This window comes from Homo sapiens, chromosome 1, assembly GCF_000001405.40.
Source record: "Homo sapiens chromosome 1, GRCh38.p14 Primary Assembly".
Lineage (NCBI taxonomy): Eukaryota > Metazoa > Chordata > Mammalia > Primates > Hominidae > Homo > Homo sapiens.
Window position 1 is genome coordinate 109,176,363 of NC_000001.11, and position 16,081 is coordinate 109,192,443.

Sequence of the window (16,081 nt, forward strand, 5' to 3'; positions counted from 1 at the left end):
AACTATTCTACTTTTCCTTTTTTACACAGTTTATATGTAAACCCAGCACAAGGCCCTCTCTCAAACAGACCTACATATCCCTACAAAGACATGCCAAACTTCACACAGGTGTGAAAGTATGTGTTTGCTCAGCCAAGACCAGCCACTGACCTTGTGAATTGCTTGTTTCTACACTATTCCTAAAACAAAAGTCATATTTACCTACACAGATCTTGCCAAATGAGTGCAGTTTTCTTTTTTTTTCTTTTTTTTTTTTTTTTTAATTGATCATTCTTGGGTGTTTCTCGCAGAGGGGGATTTGGCAGGGTCACAGGACAATAGTGGAGGGAAGGTCAGCAGATAAACAAATGAACAAAGGTCTCTGGTTTTCCTAGGCAGAGGACCCTGCGGCCTTCCGCAGTGTTTGTGTCCCTGGCTACTTGAGATTAGGGAGTGGTGATGACTCTTAAGGAGCATGCTGCCTTCAAGCATCTGTTTAACAAAGCACATCTTGCACCGCCCTTAATCCATTCAACCCTGAGTGGATACAGCACATGTTTCAGAGAGCACAGGGTTGGGGGTAAGGTCACAGATCTACAGGATCCCAAGGCAGAAGAATTTTTCTTAGTACAGAACAAAATGAAAAGTCTCCCATGTCTACCTCTTTCTACACAGACATGGCAACCATCCGATTTCTCAATCTTTTCCCCACCTTTCCCCCCTTTCTATTCCACAAAACCGCCATTGTCATCATGGCCCGTTCTCAATGAGCTGTTGGGTACACCTCCCAGACAGGGTGGTGGCCGGGCAGAGGGGCTCCTCACTTCCCAGTAGGGGCGGCCGGGCAGAGGCGCCCCTCACCTCCTGGACGGGGCGGCTGGCCGGGCGGGGGGCTGACCCCCCCACCTCCCTCCCGGACGGGGCGGCTGCCGGGCAGAGACGCTCCTCACTTCCCAGACGGGGTGGCTGCTGGGCGGAGGGGCTCCTCACTTCTCAGACCGGGCGGCTGCCGGGCGGAGGGGCTCCTCACTTCTCAGACGGGGCGGCCGGGCAGAGACGCTCCTCACATCCTGGACGGGGCGGCAGGGCAGAGGTGCTCCCCACATCTCAGACGATGGGTGGCCGGGCAGAGACGCTCCTCACTTCCCAGATGGGATGGCGGCCGGGAAGAGGCGCTCCTCACTTCCCAGACGGGGTGGCGGCCGGGCAGAGGCTGCAATCTCGGCACTTTGGGAGGCCAAGGCAGGCTGCTGGGAGGTGGAGGTTGTAGCGAGCCGAGATCACGCCACTATGAGTGCAGTTTTCAACTAAAACAGAAATCTTTAGATCTTGGGGGAAGTTTTTATCTGTAAGTCTAGATTCCTGTTTTTCCACTTGCATTTTTTATTCCTCTTCCCCACTCTGCTTCTATCAACAGCAACCTTTGTTAGCCTAAATCTCTGGCTCCCTTTATGGTCCAGCAGTTGGGCAGGGTTTGAATGGCAAGGTGGTTCTAGAAAAACTTCTCATAGAAGTGTTTTGATCAACTCTGTGTAAGCTGATTTTTATCCAGAGTGCTGTTATAAAAGCATTAGGTTGGGAGTCTGAATTCTTGGAATCTATTTTCCTTCTGCCACTGATTTCTCAATGTGCCCCATTGACTGAGAAGTGAGTTTTTTCTTTTTTCTTTCTTTTTTTTTTTTTTTGAGATGGAGTTTCCCTCTTGTTGCCCAGGCTGGAGTGCAATGGCGCAATCTTGGCTCACTGCAATCTCTGCCTCCCCAGTTCAAGTGATTCTCCTGCCTCAGCCTCCCGAGTAACTAGGATTACAGGTGCCTGCCACTATGCTTGCCTAAATTTTTGTATTTTTAGTAGAGACGGGGTTTCACCATCTCGGCCAGCCTGGTCTTGAACTCCTGACCTCAGTTGATCCACCCGCCTTGGCCTCCCAAAGTGTTGGGATTACAGGCGTGAGCCACTGCACCTGGCCAGTGAGTTTTTACTATGAGGAACATGGTCAACTTGTTGACAACCTCACCGGCTTGGGGTACAAAGAGAGTCATATTTCTTTGAGACTTGACTCTTCCAGAATACAGGGTCAGTGAGAGACTGGGAAATTGCAGGGAGACTCTGATGATAGCCTATGATAGACTGTATGCAGGGAGTGACAGAAGGTCCATGCATTTACAAATATATTCTGAGTACCTGCCAGTTGCCAAGGACTAGCTTGGTGCTAGGGTTAGAGCTGGTGCCTGACCTCCAGCTTATGTTGAAAAGGAAATGTGGTTATATAAACACCTAAGTGCAGTAACTCTCCATGGTGTTGGGATAGGAGAGCTGGGTGTAGAATGCAGTGGAGGTGGGCCGGGTGTGGCGGCTCACGCCTGTAATCCCAGCACTTTGGGAGGCCGAGGTGGGTGGATCACCTGAGGTCAGGAGTTCAAGACCAGCCTGGCCAATATGGTAAAACCCCAACTCTACTAGAAATACAAAAATTAGCTGGGTGTGGTGGCGCACGCCTGTAATCCCAGCTACTTGGGAGGCTGAGGCAGAAGAATCACTTGAACCTGGGAGGTGGAGGCTGCAGTGAACCAAGATCATGCCACTGCATTCCAATCTGGGTGACAGAATAATACTGTCTCAAAAAAAAAAAAAGAATGTAGTGGAGGCAAAAAAGGAAAATGGTTAGTCCCCTCTAGAAAAGAAGGAAAAGTTTCACTCGCTAAGATCTGGAAAGATGAAAGGTTAATTAGTGATTTGGTGGGGGCAGGATGTTTGGGATAGAAGTGTGAGCAAAGGGCCAGGCGCAGTGGCTCACACCTGTAATCCTACCACTTTGGGAGGCCAGGGCAGGTGGATTGACTGAGCTCAGGAGTTTGAGACCAGCCTGGGCAACATGGTGAAACCCCATCTCTACTAAAAATTCAAAAAATTGGCCGGGCATGGTGGCGGGCGCCTTTAGTCCCAGCTACTCGGGAGGCTGAGGCAGGAGAATTGCTTGAACCCGGGAGGCGGAGGTTGCAGGTTGCAGTGAGCCGAGATCATGCCACTGCACTCCAGCCTGGGTGACAGAGTGAGACTCTGTCTCCAAAAAAAAAAAAAAAAAAAAGAAGTGTGAGCAAAGGCCAGAAAGCTCAGGAAACTGCAAATAATTCAGCTTGGCTGGAGATTAGGTGGCGAGAAGTTGCATCTAAGGCTGAGAAGCAGGCCGGAAACAGATTATGGAGCAGTCCTTCTGTGCTATTGTAGGGGCAAAAAATTGGGATTTGATCCTATCAGCAGTGGAGGTCATTAAAGAATTTTAAGAGGCCAGGCACGGCCATGCCTGTAATCCCAGCACTTTGGGAGGCTGAGGCAGGTGGATCACCTGAGGTCAGGAGTTGGAGACCAGCCTGACCAACCTGGTGAAACCCCGTCTCTACTAGAAATACAAAAATTAGCTGGGTGTGGTGGCACACGCCTGTAATCCCAGCAACTTGGGAGGCTGAGGCAAGAGAATTGCTTGAACCTAGGAGGCAGAGGTTGCAGTGAGCCGAGATCACACCATTGCACTCTAGCCTGGGTGACAAGAGGGAAACTCCATCTCAAAAAAAAAGAATTTTAAATGAAGGATTTCAGCCAGTGCTTTTGAAAGACCACTCTGGCTGCCATGCAGAGGAGGGAGGGAATGCTGGAGGCAGAGGCTGTGGTAGGGAGATGTTGCAGCTGGCATCATTGCTGATGTCCAGGACCTAAACTAAGGTGGAATTAATGTGGGTGGAGATTGGAGAACTCACAGGAGCATTGTGAAGGACAAAAGCCTGACTAAAAGCATCTTTCTCACTGGTCCCTAAAATTTGATCATTAGGTTTAATTTCTTTGTGTTATGTTTCATATTAGTGATCCATTTCCTAAACAGAATAGCATGAAGTTAAAGAGCATGGACTCCAGAACTAAATTACTAGGGCTCAAATCCCTGCTCCACCAATTAGTAGCAGTGCCACCTTGGGCAAATTACTTATCTGTGCCTCCGTTTCTTTGTCTATAAAATGGGAAGGACAGCTGGGCACAGTGGCTATTGCTTGTAGTCTCAGCTACTGGGGAGGCTGACGCAGGAGGATCGTTCAAGCCCAGGAGTTAGAAGCTGAGTGAGCCATGATTGCTCCATTGCACTCCGGCCTGGGCATCAGAACAGGACCCCATCTCTTTAAAAAAAAAAATGGGAATGACAATAATTATATCTGCCTCATAGTGTTATTGTGAGGATTGGTTAATACAGGTAAAGGATTTAGAAAGGGGCCTGGCATATAGTAAGCAGTAATTTTATTAATTCATTTACCTTAAGCCCTGTCCCAACACTCCTTTTTTAATATGAAAATACTCAGGCCAGCACTATGGCTCACACCTGTAATCCTAATACTTTGGGAGGCCGAGGCAGGAGGAGTGCTTGAGGCCGGGAGTTTGAGACCAGTCTGGGTAATAGAACAAGACTCCTGTCTCTACAAAAATAAAAAAATTAGCCAGGTGTGGTGGCATGCACCTGTAGTCCCAGCTACTCAGAAGGCTGAGGTGGGAGGATCACCTGAGCCTGGGAGGTAGAGGCTGTACTGAGCTGATTGTGCCACTGAACTCCAGCCTGGGTGACAGAGTGAGGCCCTGTCTCTAAAAAAAAGAAAAGAAAAGAAAATACTCCTGGTACAGGTAACACTCATAAGTCACGTGTATAGTACTCTCCAATTGACAAAACATGATCTCATTTATTACCTATAGCATAGTGAGGGAGTTATTTCTGCATTTACCGAGGAAGAAAGAGAAGCTCAGCGACACTGAGGAGCTTCACAAAAGCATGAGCTGCTGTCTGACCCGGGCCTGTGTCCATTCAGTACTGAAACCCTCAGGAGAAATGTTTTACTTTGATAAAACAGATCCCAGTGAGAACATTGTACTCCTGGAGGTGGGGGGATATTGAAAGGAGGAGGCAGGTGCAGAAAGAGGAGTTGGAGCCCCTGAGATAAACTTTATCTTCTTACAGTTTTGCCCAGGGCCAATCCTACTTAAGTCACTTTTCACTCCCTCAACCAAACACAGAGGCCCATCTTCCAAACTTGACTAGCATCCAACTTAAACACTTTGATGAAACCCAAGCTGGGAAAGGAGGTTGGTCTCAGCATTTTGGTTAATCATTTATTAAAACCACCTTAACAGGGATCAGTGTGTAAACAGCTGAGCCATTTTTGCTAAAACCCAGAGCTAGGATGTCAGATTGAGCAAATATTTGACAAGCAGAGAAAGGTCTTGGTGTAGAATGCATTTTCTAACACATAACTTGTACTTTGCTAGACCTAAGAATTGGCACCTTCCCACGTTTTCAGCCTCTCTCCCCACATTTTTCCTGGCCAAGTCAGTCAAAAGCAGGAGTCCATGGGTCCCTCTGTGCTGAATTGGGCCTCCTGCTTGGTAACCAAGTAAATGAGCTGAGAAGACCCCAACTGTTTCTCAGCCAGTAGTTCCCACCTGTCCAGCCTAATAAGACAGAGACAGAAGAGGTATGGAGATGTGCAGTTGAGAGAACTTTCCAGCTCAGGCCAACAAGACTGCAATTAGGAGATTATCTGATCTACGAACCCATGTGGTGCCTGGAGAAAAAGAAGGAATCAGTTGAGAAATAAGCCCTTAACTGAAAGGGAGGTAAAGAGACCTTTAATCCTTATTCACTCTCCTGTGACTACTCCCAAATAAAAATAATTCCCGGCTGGGCATGGTGGCTCACACCCATAATCCTAGCACTTTGGGACGCTAAGGCAGGCAGATCACGAGGTCAGGAGTTTGAAACCAGGCTGACCAACATGGTGAAATCCCATCTCTACTAAAAATACAAAAATTAGCTGGATGTGGTGGTGCACACCTGTAATCCCAGCTACTCAGGAGGCTGAGGCAGGAGAATCACTTGAACCCGAGAGGCGGAGGTTGCAGTGAGCTGAGGTGGCACCACTGCACTCCAACCTGGGCAACAGAGCGAGACTCTGTCTCAAAAAATAATAATAATAATAATAATAATAATAATTCCCAAACATGCAGGTAATAATAGTTACTGCTATCTAGTGAGTATCTACTTACAATGTGCCAGGTAGGTACTGGCTCCAGCAAGGTATATATTATTATTCCTGTTCTACAGATGAGAAGGCTGAGGCTCAGAGAGGTTAAGTAACTTGCCTAAAGTGACACAGCTGCTAAATGATGAAGCAGGATCCAAACCCATATCCGTCTAGCTTAAAATCTCATTCCAGGCCGGGAGCGGTGGCTCACACCTGTAATCCCAGCACTTTGGGAGGCCAAGGCAGGCGGATCACGAGGTCAGCAGATCGAGACCATCCTGGCTAACACGGTGAAACCCTGTCTCTACTAAAAATACAAAAAATTAGCCAGGCATGGTGGCGGGCGCCTGTAGTCCCAGCTACTTGGAAGGCTGAGGCAGGAGAATGGCGTGAACCCGGGAGGCGGAGCTTGCAGTGAGCCGAGATCGTGCCACTGCACTCCAGCCTGGGCAACAGAGCAAGACTCCATCTCAAAAAAAAAAAAAAAAAAAATCTCATTCCACTACACCATACTGCTTGCCAGGTAATATAAAGAGAGAGAAGTTCTTACCATTATTCAGTGCTTATCTGCAGGTGACACAGCAGTCATATTCGAAGTAGTGGTGGCAGTAGTAACAGTATTGTAATGTGCACCTCATAAAGCAGTTGTTTTTATTCTGGAGGAAGTAAATTCCCTAGAAAACTTTCAAAAAGTTTTTATTTGTATGAATTACGCATATTTTTCTAGGTAGAGAGAAACATCTCTTTTTTTCAAATTTTCAAAAGAGTTTTTAAAATCAAAAAAAGTTAAACCCACTGCTTTAAAGAGAGAGTCAAGCACAATGGCTCATGCCTGTAATCCCAGCACTTTGGGTGGGTGGCTGAGGTGGGAGGATTGCCTGAAGCCAGGAGCTCAAGACCAGCTTGGGCAACATAGCGAGACTCTGTCTCTACCAAAAAAAAAAAAAAAAAAAACAAAAAAAAGAGAGAGAGAGAGAAAAGAAAACAAACCCTATGATGAAATAATGAAAAAAATAAAATTAAAAAATGAATTCATAGAAGTAGTTCTCACTATCCAGAGGTTCACAGGGTTAAAGCAGAGCTAACATTGAAAGGAGGAGAACATGCAGAGAGCAGAAGAAAACTGATAGTTCACGTTTTTCTTCTTTCTTTCTTTTCCTTCCTTCCTTCCTTCCTTCCTTCCTTCCTTCCTTCCTTCCTTCCTTCCTTCCTTCCATCCTTCCCTCCTTCCTTCCTTCCTTCCTAACAGAGTCTCTCTCCATTGCCCAGGCTAGAATGCAATGGCATGATCATGGCTCTCTGCAGCCTCAACCTCCTGGACTCAAGTGATTCTCCTGCCTCAACATCAAGTAGCTGGGACTATAGGCCTGCACCACCACGCCCGGCTAATTTTTGTATTTTTTGTAGAGACAGGGTTTGCTATGTTGCCCAGGCTGGTCTTGAACTCCTGGGCTCAAGAGATCCTAAAGTGCTGGGATTACAGGCATGAACCACCATGCCCAGCAGTTAACATTTTTCATTAGGTATAAATCAAGAGTTAAAGATAGTGTTGGGCTGGTGCGGGAGGCGGGAGGATCGCTTGAGCCCAGGAGTTCCAGGCTGCAGTGAGTTAAGATTGTACCACTGCAGTCCAGCCTCAGCAACAGAACAAGACTCTGTCTCTAAAAAATAACAATAATAAAATAATAATAAAGAGGCCGGGCACGGTGGCTCACCCCTGTAATTCCAGCGCTTTGGGAGGCCGAGGAGGGCAGATCACCTGAAGTCAGGAGTTCGAGACCAGCCTGACCAACATGGAGAAACTCCGTCTCTACTAAAAATACAAAATTAGCCAGGCATGGTGACTCATGCCTGTAATTCCAGCTACTCAAGAAGCTGAGGCAGGAGAATCACTTGAACCTGGGAGGCGGAGGTTGCAGTGAGCCAAGATCGTGCCACTGCACTCCAGCCTGGGCAACAAGAGTGAAACTCCATCTCAATAATAATAATAATAAAGATAGTGTTGGGATGCTTGGGTTGAGGCAAGTGGGAAGAACCTTATGTGTTAGGTGGAGTCCAAGGAAATTACAAACCTGGTTTGTGTAGAATGATTGCATGAAGAAAAGGAAATTTCCAAGGTGGAAGGCCTTCATTCTAGGCATATATTAGAACATTCATAGAAAGGCTTGGAATGAGTATGAAAGCAAAATCATGTTTTACTTCAACACTTCAGGAGTAGAAAAACCACACCCAGAGTCAAGACACTAAGGCACCTGGAAGATGGTGAACTCTCTGAACCTCCCCAGGTTTCAGGGAACTTAGGTTGGCAGTGGTTAACCTGCAAGAAGCTGTTTCCGTCTACCCTCCTTGCTGGTCCTTTGGCCAGGCCACTTCTCCCTCCCTTGCCCCATGGGGCGGGGGACGGGAAGCGGCAAACAGTGGTTTCTCATCAGCACCTGGAACAGGTGCAAAGGGAAGCTTGAGCAGGGTTGGGGAACTGGAAATGACACTATTGAGACAAGGGGAAGGGTGAGTGTGCAGGATTTTCTACTTCCGGCAATATTTGTGTGGCAATGCACCCAGGGACTTGGGAGTCACAGGGCCATGAAGAGGCCAGGAGCTCAGCTTTCTTATGTAACTCCAAATATTTCTTCTTGCTTTGGCAATTTAGAGAAAGGATCTTCTTCCTGTAACGTGCGCCCAGCTTGCACAGACAAAGATTATTTCTACACACACACGGCCTGCGATGCCAACGGAGAGGTGGGTAGTACAGTCTTGGAGCCCCTTAGCCCCAGATGGACTGTCTCCCACTCCCTGAGGTTTGCCACCATTTGGAACTTCAGCAGTCAATGACATTGGCACTAGTTAAAACCCCACAGACCTTTGAGGTGACCCTAGGGCTAGGTGGGGTGGGGGGCAAAACGAGACCTCTTCATTCATTTTCCGGTCAGAAACTGTTTTTGCAGCGTTTGTTTCACTGTTTATGCACATATGTTCTGTTTCAAAAACCCACTTCATTCTCTCTTGCTTGGTTTCTTCTATTTGCCGAGCCACTCCGGCAGAGCCTGCCTGTCCGTACACAATGTCCTCCCGGGGCTCTTCAGGCTCACCCCCTCGGCACTGTTTTGTGGGCTGGCACGGGGAATGGATTCCTGCCTATGGTCTGACTTGTTCCGTTTCTGCTGCTTCTCTTTCCTCCAGGCTTTCTGCTTCAGAAAAGAACTTTCCCTCCTAGTCTACACTGTCACTGAGTCAACAAGCATTTTTTGAGGCTGACTGATATGTCAGGCCTGGCACTATAGGCTGGGGAGTCAGAGACGACTGAAACAAGCTCCTGCCCCCAGGGAGCTCACAGTCCTGTATGAGAGGCTGGAGAGAGGAGAAAAACGGGCCCAGTCAAGGCAACCAGAGGGATGTGCAGGGAACTGGGGGAGCCCAGAAGAGAAGCGACCAGGACTTGGGGTGGGGGCAGCAGAGAAAGCCTCTCAGAGGAGGCCATTTGTTCAACAGTCAACAAATATTTATCGAGGAGCGACTCTGTGCCAGGCACGGTGCTAGGTGCTAGGCATGCATCACTTAACAAAACTGAGGGAACATCTAGCCCTTATGGAGCTTAACTCTTGTTGGGGAGGGAGTGGAGAGAGAGATAATAGACAACAAATGGGTATATAATATAGCAAATGGTAGTAAGTGGTAGGAAGGAAAAAAAAAAACCAGGATTAGGAGAGAGAGAATGAAGGAGGGTGGTGCCACTATTTTAGAAGGGTAGGGATGTCCTCTCAGGAGGTGACATTTGAGCAGAGACCTGAAGGAGATGAGGGAGGAGCCGTGGAGCTTTCCAGGCAGCAGACACAGCAGGAGAGGAGGCGGCAGCTGGGCCAGGTGGGTGGAGAAACAGTGTAAGTGAGCAGGGAAGGGCTTGAGGTGCACGGAGAAGGATCTGGCTGAGCTGTCTGTATCCCTAAGCTAGAGATTCTCAAGAGGATAGAACTAGGAGTTGGGCATTCTGCACTCAGCACTAAGCATGATGCTTGGCTCTTAGGGAGCATAAACATTTGCTGGCTGGGCGGCTGACTGAATTCTCCCTTTCCTAACTAAGCATGGGTTAAAGTCTGGTCCTTAACAATGAATATTTTGCACAGTCATCTCTTACCAACACCACCTCCCCCACGTATTTGGGGCATCATCCCCTTCTCCAGCAGCCAAGAGAGAATGGCTGTGTCTTGTCAGTTGCACCTTAGACTCAGTTCTGTGGTGTCTGGTATTCTGTATGACCTTGTGAACATTTATTTTCATTTTCTTGGTCTCAGCCAACTCACTAATAAAAGGCAGACAATTAATCCTGCTGCTCTTCTCCCTCCTGTTCATAACATGTGACTGAATGTGGCTGTCTTTCCTCCCTTCTGCCCCATTCTCTTCCCTCCCTGGGCTCACGCCAAGGCCTTCTGGGTCAGTACCGTGCTTGCTGCCTGAAAGCCCGGGTGTCTGCCTTGGCCTGACCACTGCCGGGGCCTTTAGATGCTGGGTCAGACCAAAGCCTGTGTTCCCGCCTTGCAGCACAGCCAAGGCCCAGCTCAGAGGAGGAGCACTGAAGCGTGTGCTTTCAGGAGTGCGCATGAACATGCATTCCCCAGCTGTTCCTTGCAGACTTCTGCTTTGTGCCTCATTCCCGCACTGGTTCTGCTCAGTCTGGTGATTGAGTTTGTCTTCTGAACAGTATTTTAAAATCAAGGGACACACCTCGAGCTGGCTCCTATGATTACATTTCTGACCTTGGCTGTGCCTCAGTTGTTTCTCAGGGACCAGGATGGCCCATCCATTGGGGTCAGTGAATGTGCTGCTCCAAGAGCTGGCCCGAGACAGTTTGCCAGCTCCTAGGACTCTCCTCTCCCTGAGACTCACAGGAGGCAGGTGAGGTTCAAGCCTGGGGCTCTGGCTGTCGCAGCCCTCCGCAGGGAAGAGGGCCGAGCTGAGCAGGGGAAGGAGGAGCCCAGGGCTCCCCATCAGTTAAGGCAGTCTGTGTCCCTCCTTAAGGACTTGTTTCTTATCTTGAAAAATATGGACAGAGGCCTTATTCATCCTTCTTTTCATATGTATGGTATCTGCACAGATCATGTTCATCAACCCCTCAGTTCAACCTATAAGGGCACGTTTTTGTCTGTGACTCGATCTGAGGGCCACATGGGAAGAATGGAGCTGCCCACCTTCACCCCTGACTCAGCCGGGGTCTCCTGCGGGTCATCTCCACTTCTGTACCCAATGCAGGGGCCATGTTTCATTCATCTCTGAGACACCAGGTCTGGCACATAGATGCATTAGGATTTACCCAATAAATAAAAGAGCAAAGAATGTACCACTCAAAAAATAAGTGGGGACATCTCAGCCACCCCCTCAGTCCCCGGGGGACATCTGAGCCACCTCCACCCTTGTGCCTTTCTGTGTTCTGGGATTTTCACCAGCTGCTTTTCCTGTGACCTTGGTAGCAATAAGATTCTACAGTGGAATCGGAGCTTTCTCTAAGACAACTGGTCCCACATTCTCTGTCATAAAGTCTTCATTAGAGCTATTCCTTGTCACCCAGGCAACATTCATTTGGCAGATAGTGATTGAACACAACCATGACTCAGGCACTGGGCTAGGTGCTTGGGATACATCCGTGAGCCACACAAAGTTCCCCACCCCAGAGGAGCTCTTACCTGGCCCAGAATCTGGATCTCTGCCCCCAGCCCCTATCCTCAAGGTAGAGTCCCAAAGATGTCCTAAATCTCACACAGGCTGAGTTGTGCTTAATCCATTTCTGCAGACACAACTCATGTACAAATGGGCCAAGCCGAAAATCTGTAGCGAGGACCTTGAGGGGGCAGTGAAGCTGCCTGCCTCTGGTGTGAAGACCCACTGCCCACCCTGCAACCCAGGCTTCTTCAAAACCAACAACAGCACCTGCCAGCCCTGCCCATATGGTTCCTACTCCAATGGCTCAGGTAACCTCCTCACCACCCCACTCTCTGCAGCACATCGACTGTGTGGGTGGGCTGTGTGGGCACTAACAGTGGCCAGCTGAATGCAGACTCTGCCCTTCCAAGGGAGGCAGTAAGGAATAAGGACCAGGCCACCTTTGAGGACTAAATTCAGGAGAAGAGAGGTCAGGGCTGGCCTCGTCTGCAGGTCAGAGTCATACTTGAGGCTGCCTTCCTTCCTCCTTGCTCCAACTGCAAATGTGACTCAGGACTGAAGGTGCCCAATCCTCAAAGCAGGGCTTCCAGCATATGGCAGAGATGCTGACTAGGCTTACAGGGCTGGGATGACCAACCCCACACAACCAAAACCTATAAGCCATGCTGCCTTGGGGGGATTTGAGTACCTGTTAAAATGAAAGCATTTAATGATAATATGACAATAATATGAACTATATGTATCAGACTAGAAGGTACATTTAAGTTTTGAAATGGAAATTGGGGTGGGCAAATAGGATGGTTGGCATATTGGAATGAAGGCTCAGTGTTTACATCTTGAGTTAAATACATTGTCAGAATGTTTTTGAGTCAACTTGATACAACTTCCTGCAGCAGTACTCAGCAGCCAGGCTTCTGGGCTGCCCGCTACTGTTGCAACTTGTCTGTGTGGCAGCAGCTCCAGTCAGAGTGACTGCAGCCTTCCCACTGAATGCATGGATCTTGTTTGTGGTTCCCCAGACTGTACCCGCTGCCCTGCAGGGACTGAACCTGCTGTGGGATTTGAATACAAATGGTGGAACACGCTGCCCACAAACATGGAAACGACCGTTCTCAGTGGGATCAACTTCGAGTACAAGGGCATGACAGGTAATTGCCTCTCCCTGTGCCATGAGCTGTCAGCTCCCTGCACACCCTCAGTTCTTCCAACTTCACATTTCTTCATAATAGTGATGTCTGAGAAAAATAAGCTAACCATGTCATGCATTCCCTTGAAAGTTCCACTCCTCATGGACATATGTTCTGCCAAGACAGCTTTAGAGGAAGGAACAGAGCTAGAAACATGAGCGTGCACTTCAAAGGTCTTGCTCTGAGAGCTTCAGGGTTTTTGACCAAAGTGGCAGGATAAGTAACACGGTTCATGTTCAGTGGTGGTTCTGGGCGCCTCAAAAGATGGTGTCAAACCTCCCTTCCAGAGTGTCATCTGGGTGCACATTTGCCTTGCACCCAAGAGCACAAGGCATTAACTCTCCTCTTTCCTTTTCAGGCTGGGAGGTGGCTGGTGATCACATTTACACAGCTGCTGGAGCCTCAGACAATGACTTCATGATTCTCACTCTGGTTGTGCCAGGATTTAGGTGAGGAATCCAAAGCCCAGGGGAGTCCAGGCCAGCTTGGCCATATCCGAATCCCACGTATTTTGGAATATTGTAGAGGAGAGGGCTTCCGGGGTTGTGTTTCATTTCATTTCAAATGTCAGTTGAGAACAGAGGGTACAGTTTGACCGAGGTAACCCAATGCTATCACGTTTTTCAAGTTGCTGCCCATGTTGATTTACCGACTGCTCTCTCTCCCGTATAGCTTCTCCCAGCCATTAGTCACGTGCTATTCAAATTCTTCCTCCTCACAGCATCACTTAAGATTAGAAAAAAAATAAAAATAAAAAATAATGGGGTCAGAAATGCCCATAGACAGTTCATCTTTATTTGGGGCAAGAAGATTGGGAAGGATTATTCTTACTGTATTTGTCCCCATATCCCAGGAAGACCTAGGGCAACACGAAATTTGTTTCCCACTAAACAAACAAACAAACACGCACACACACACACACACCTCCTGGCAGTGTGGTGTGGTGGAAGGAACACCAGACTGGAAGACAGGGCACTTGTGCTTTGCCGCTTACTGGCCGTGCGACCTTAGGAAAAGTCACTTCACCTGTTCAGGCTTCGGGCCCCTCATCCATAAAAACAGTGTGTGATTTAAGACTAACTGAGGTTCAGATGGCTTTTCCAGCCCGCTGGTTAACACAGCTGCATAGAGATAAGCTGAGAACTGGAGGTCCTCAGAATTCAGGCAAATGGCTAAAGCCAAAAGGAAAGCCGTGAATGAATTTCCAAGGCCAAAGTGAACTCTTCTGCCCATATGTGCTCTAAAGATAAGAAGCAGGCACTGAATATGCTTCCCTAGTGCCAGTCTGACACCTTCATTTCCTTCTTCGAGGTCCCTGCTTCCCATCCCTGGGATGTTGCTCAGTTTGCCTTCCCTTAACACACATTACTCAGAGCTAGCCAGATGAATGAAGCCTGTGTTTGCAAGGTGAGCAAACTTTTTAGGCTTTTTTTGGAATAACATTCAAAAAGTACTTTCCAATTTGCAAATCTGATCGTCATAGTAAAGTGTTGCCTCATCCCCCATCCCCACTACTACCCCAGCCCGCTTGGGCATGGCTCTCTCTTTCCCAAAAGTAGGACCAAACGGAGGACTTTGCTGGATCACAAATTCTGCTCCTTTAACCCCGGCAAAGCTCCCCAGTGCTGGAGAGACAGCTGCTGAGTAAATGTCAACAATTTACAGTCTTATGATAGACGTGCTTCTCAAACATAAATGTGCACACGAATCGCCTGGGAATCGTATTAACATGCAGATTCTGATTCACTGGGCCTGGGAGGAGCCTGAGGTTCTGCAGTTCTAATAAACTCTGGGAGATGGCCATGTTGCTGGTCTGTGGACCATATTCTGCTAGTGAGGTGATACAGCATTTTATAAAGGACCGCCACATCTGTCATGCCTTCAGGTCTCCCCGCGATGATGGGGGGTAGGTAAGAAAGAGATTTCATCACCTCCATTTTACAGATAAGGAAACCGTGGTTTGGCTAGGTCAAGGTCACATAGCTAGGAGGGCAGAATTGGATTTAGTCCACACGCTTTCCATCATACTCAGAACTTAACCCTGTCCCCCAGCAGACGCTCTGCTGTTGTCTGGGCTCTTCAATAAGCACTGCCTGGCCTTTAGAACTGACTTTTAATTTCTGCCCCTACAGACCTCCGCAGTCGGTGATGGCAGACACAGAGAATAAAGAGGTGGCCAGAATCACATTTGTCTTTGAGACCCTCTGTTCTGTGAACTGTGAGCTCTACTTCATGGTGGTACGTTTTCCTTTCTTTGCCCGCTAGAGGGCCTCCAGGGGAGGGTTAGCCCCATCTGCCCCATTGGTGTGTCCACGTGACTGACACCCCCCCTTGTAGTGATTCCACAGAGGAAAGGCCCAGACTGACCAGCAGGGACTTCACAGTTTAACAAGGGTCTCACCAACCGTGATGGCACCTGGGATGGCAGCCACATGGGCACCCACTTCCCCTCTGGCCATCGCACCCGCTTCACTTGTCTGTCCTGGGTTCAGGGTGTGAATTCTAGGACCAACACTCCTGTGGAGACGTGGAAAGGTTCCAAAGGCAAACAGTCCTATACCTACATCATTGAGGAGAACACTACCACGAGCTTCACCTGGGCCTTCCAGAGGACCACTTTTCATGAGGCAGTAAGTTCCTCCCCTTCCTCAGACCCCCAGGAGAGACCCTCTGAACCCAGGAGGACTCCTAGCATTAGCTTAAGTATGAGTGTGAAGTTCAGAATCTGAGGGTTAGAAGGATCTCAGGGGGTCAAGCAGAAAACTGCCTAACCCAGCCCTCTGAGGACCACCTAGTCTTGTCCAGCTGACTTCCTGGAAAGATGACACCATAAGAAATAAGTTGGCCCTCCTTGTAGTCCCTGCCCTGATACATGTGTTACCAGACTTGTTGTTGTTTTTAATAATAACAACTCTGGTTTTAGTTTCTTAACTCAAAGGAATACAGGCTCATTGCAGAAGACACAGAAAATAAAAATAAACAAAAATAAGAAATAAAATCAGCCATAATCCTACTACTCAGAGATAAACCAGTTAACATCTGGACAATCTCCTATACACTGTTTGTTTCTGCACAAGTACATTTTTTTCTCTTTTATAAGGAAAAGACTTGCTTTTTTCATAAAACTGTATATATTATATTTTCCCCATGGTACTTAACATTTTTATATGTCCTATAAATGGTTCAGTCTCATTTTAAAATGACATCAAA

General features: G+C 48.0%; 1 protein-coding gene across 8 annotated transcripts in view; it reads left to right on the forward strand.

Moving 5' to 3' along the window:
• The window catches only part of ELAPOR1 (endosome-lysosome associated apoptosis and autophagy regulator 1), a 92,667-nt gene that overhangs the window by 62,248 nt on the left and 14,338 nt on the right, over positions 1-16,081 (forward strand). For 5 of the 8 annotated variants that reach the window (XM_011541825.3, NM_020775.5, XM_011541827.3 and 2 more), the window contains 6 exons: positions 8,683-8,771; positions 11,815-11,992; positions 12,704-12,832; positions 13,230-13,320; positions 15,004-15,109; positions 15,364-15,501. In XM_011541825.3, coding sequence (XP_011540127.1) covers positions 8,683-8,771; positions 11,815-11,992; positions 12,704-12,832; positions 13,230-13,320; positions 15,004-15,109; positions 15,364-15,501 — 731 coding nt within the window. Of the gene's footprint in view, positions 1-8,682; positions 8,772-10,186; positions 11,309-11,814; positions 11,993-12,703; positions 12,833-13,229; positions 13,321-15,003; positions 15,110-15,363; positions 15,502-16,081 lie in introns of those variants that run through there. The other 3 variants (NM_001267048.2, XM_047426133.1, NM_001284353.2) reach the window with 2 other exon arrangements.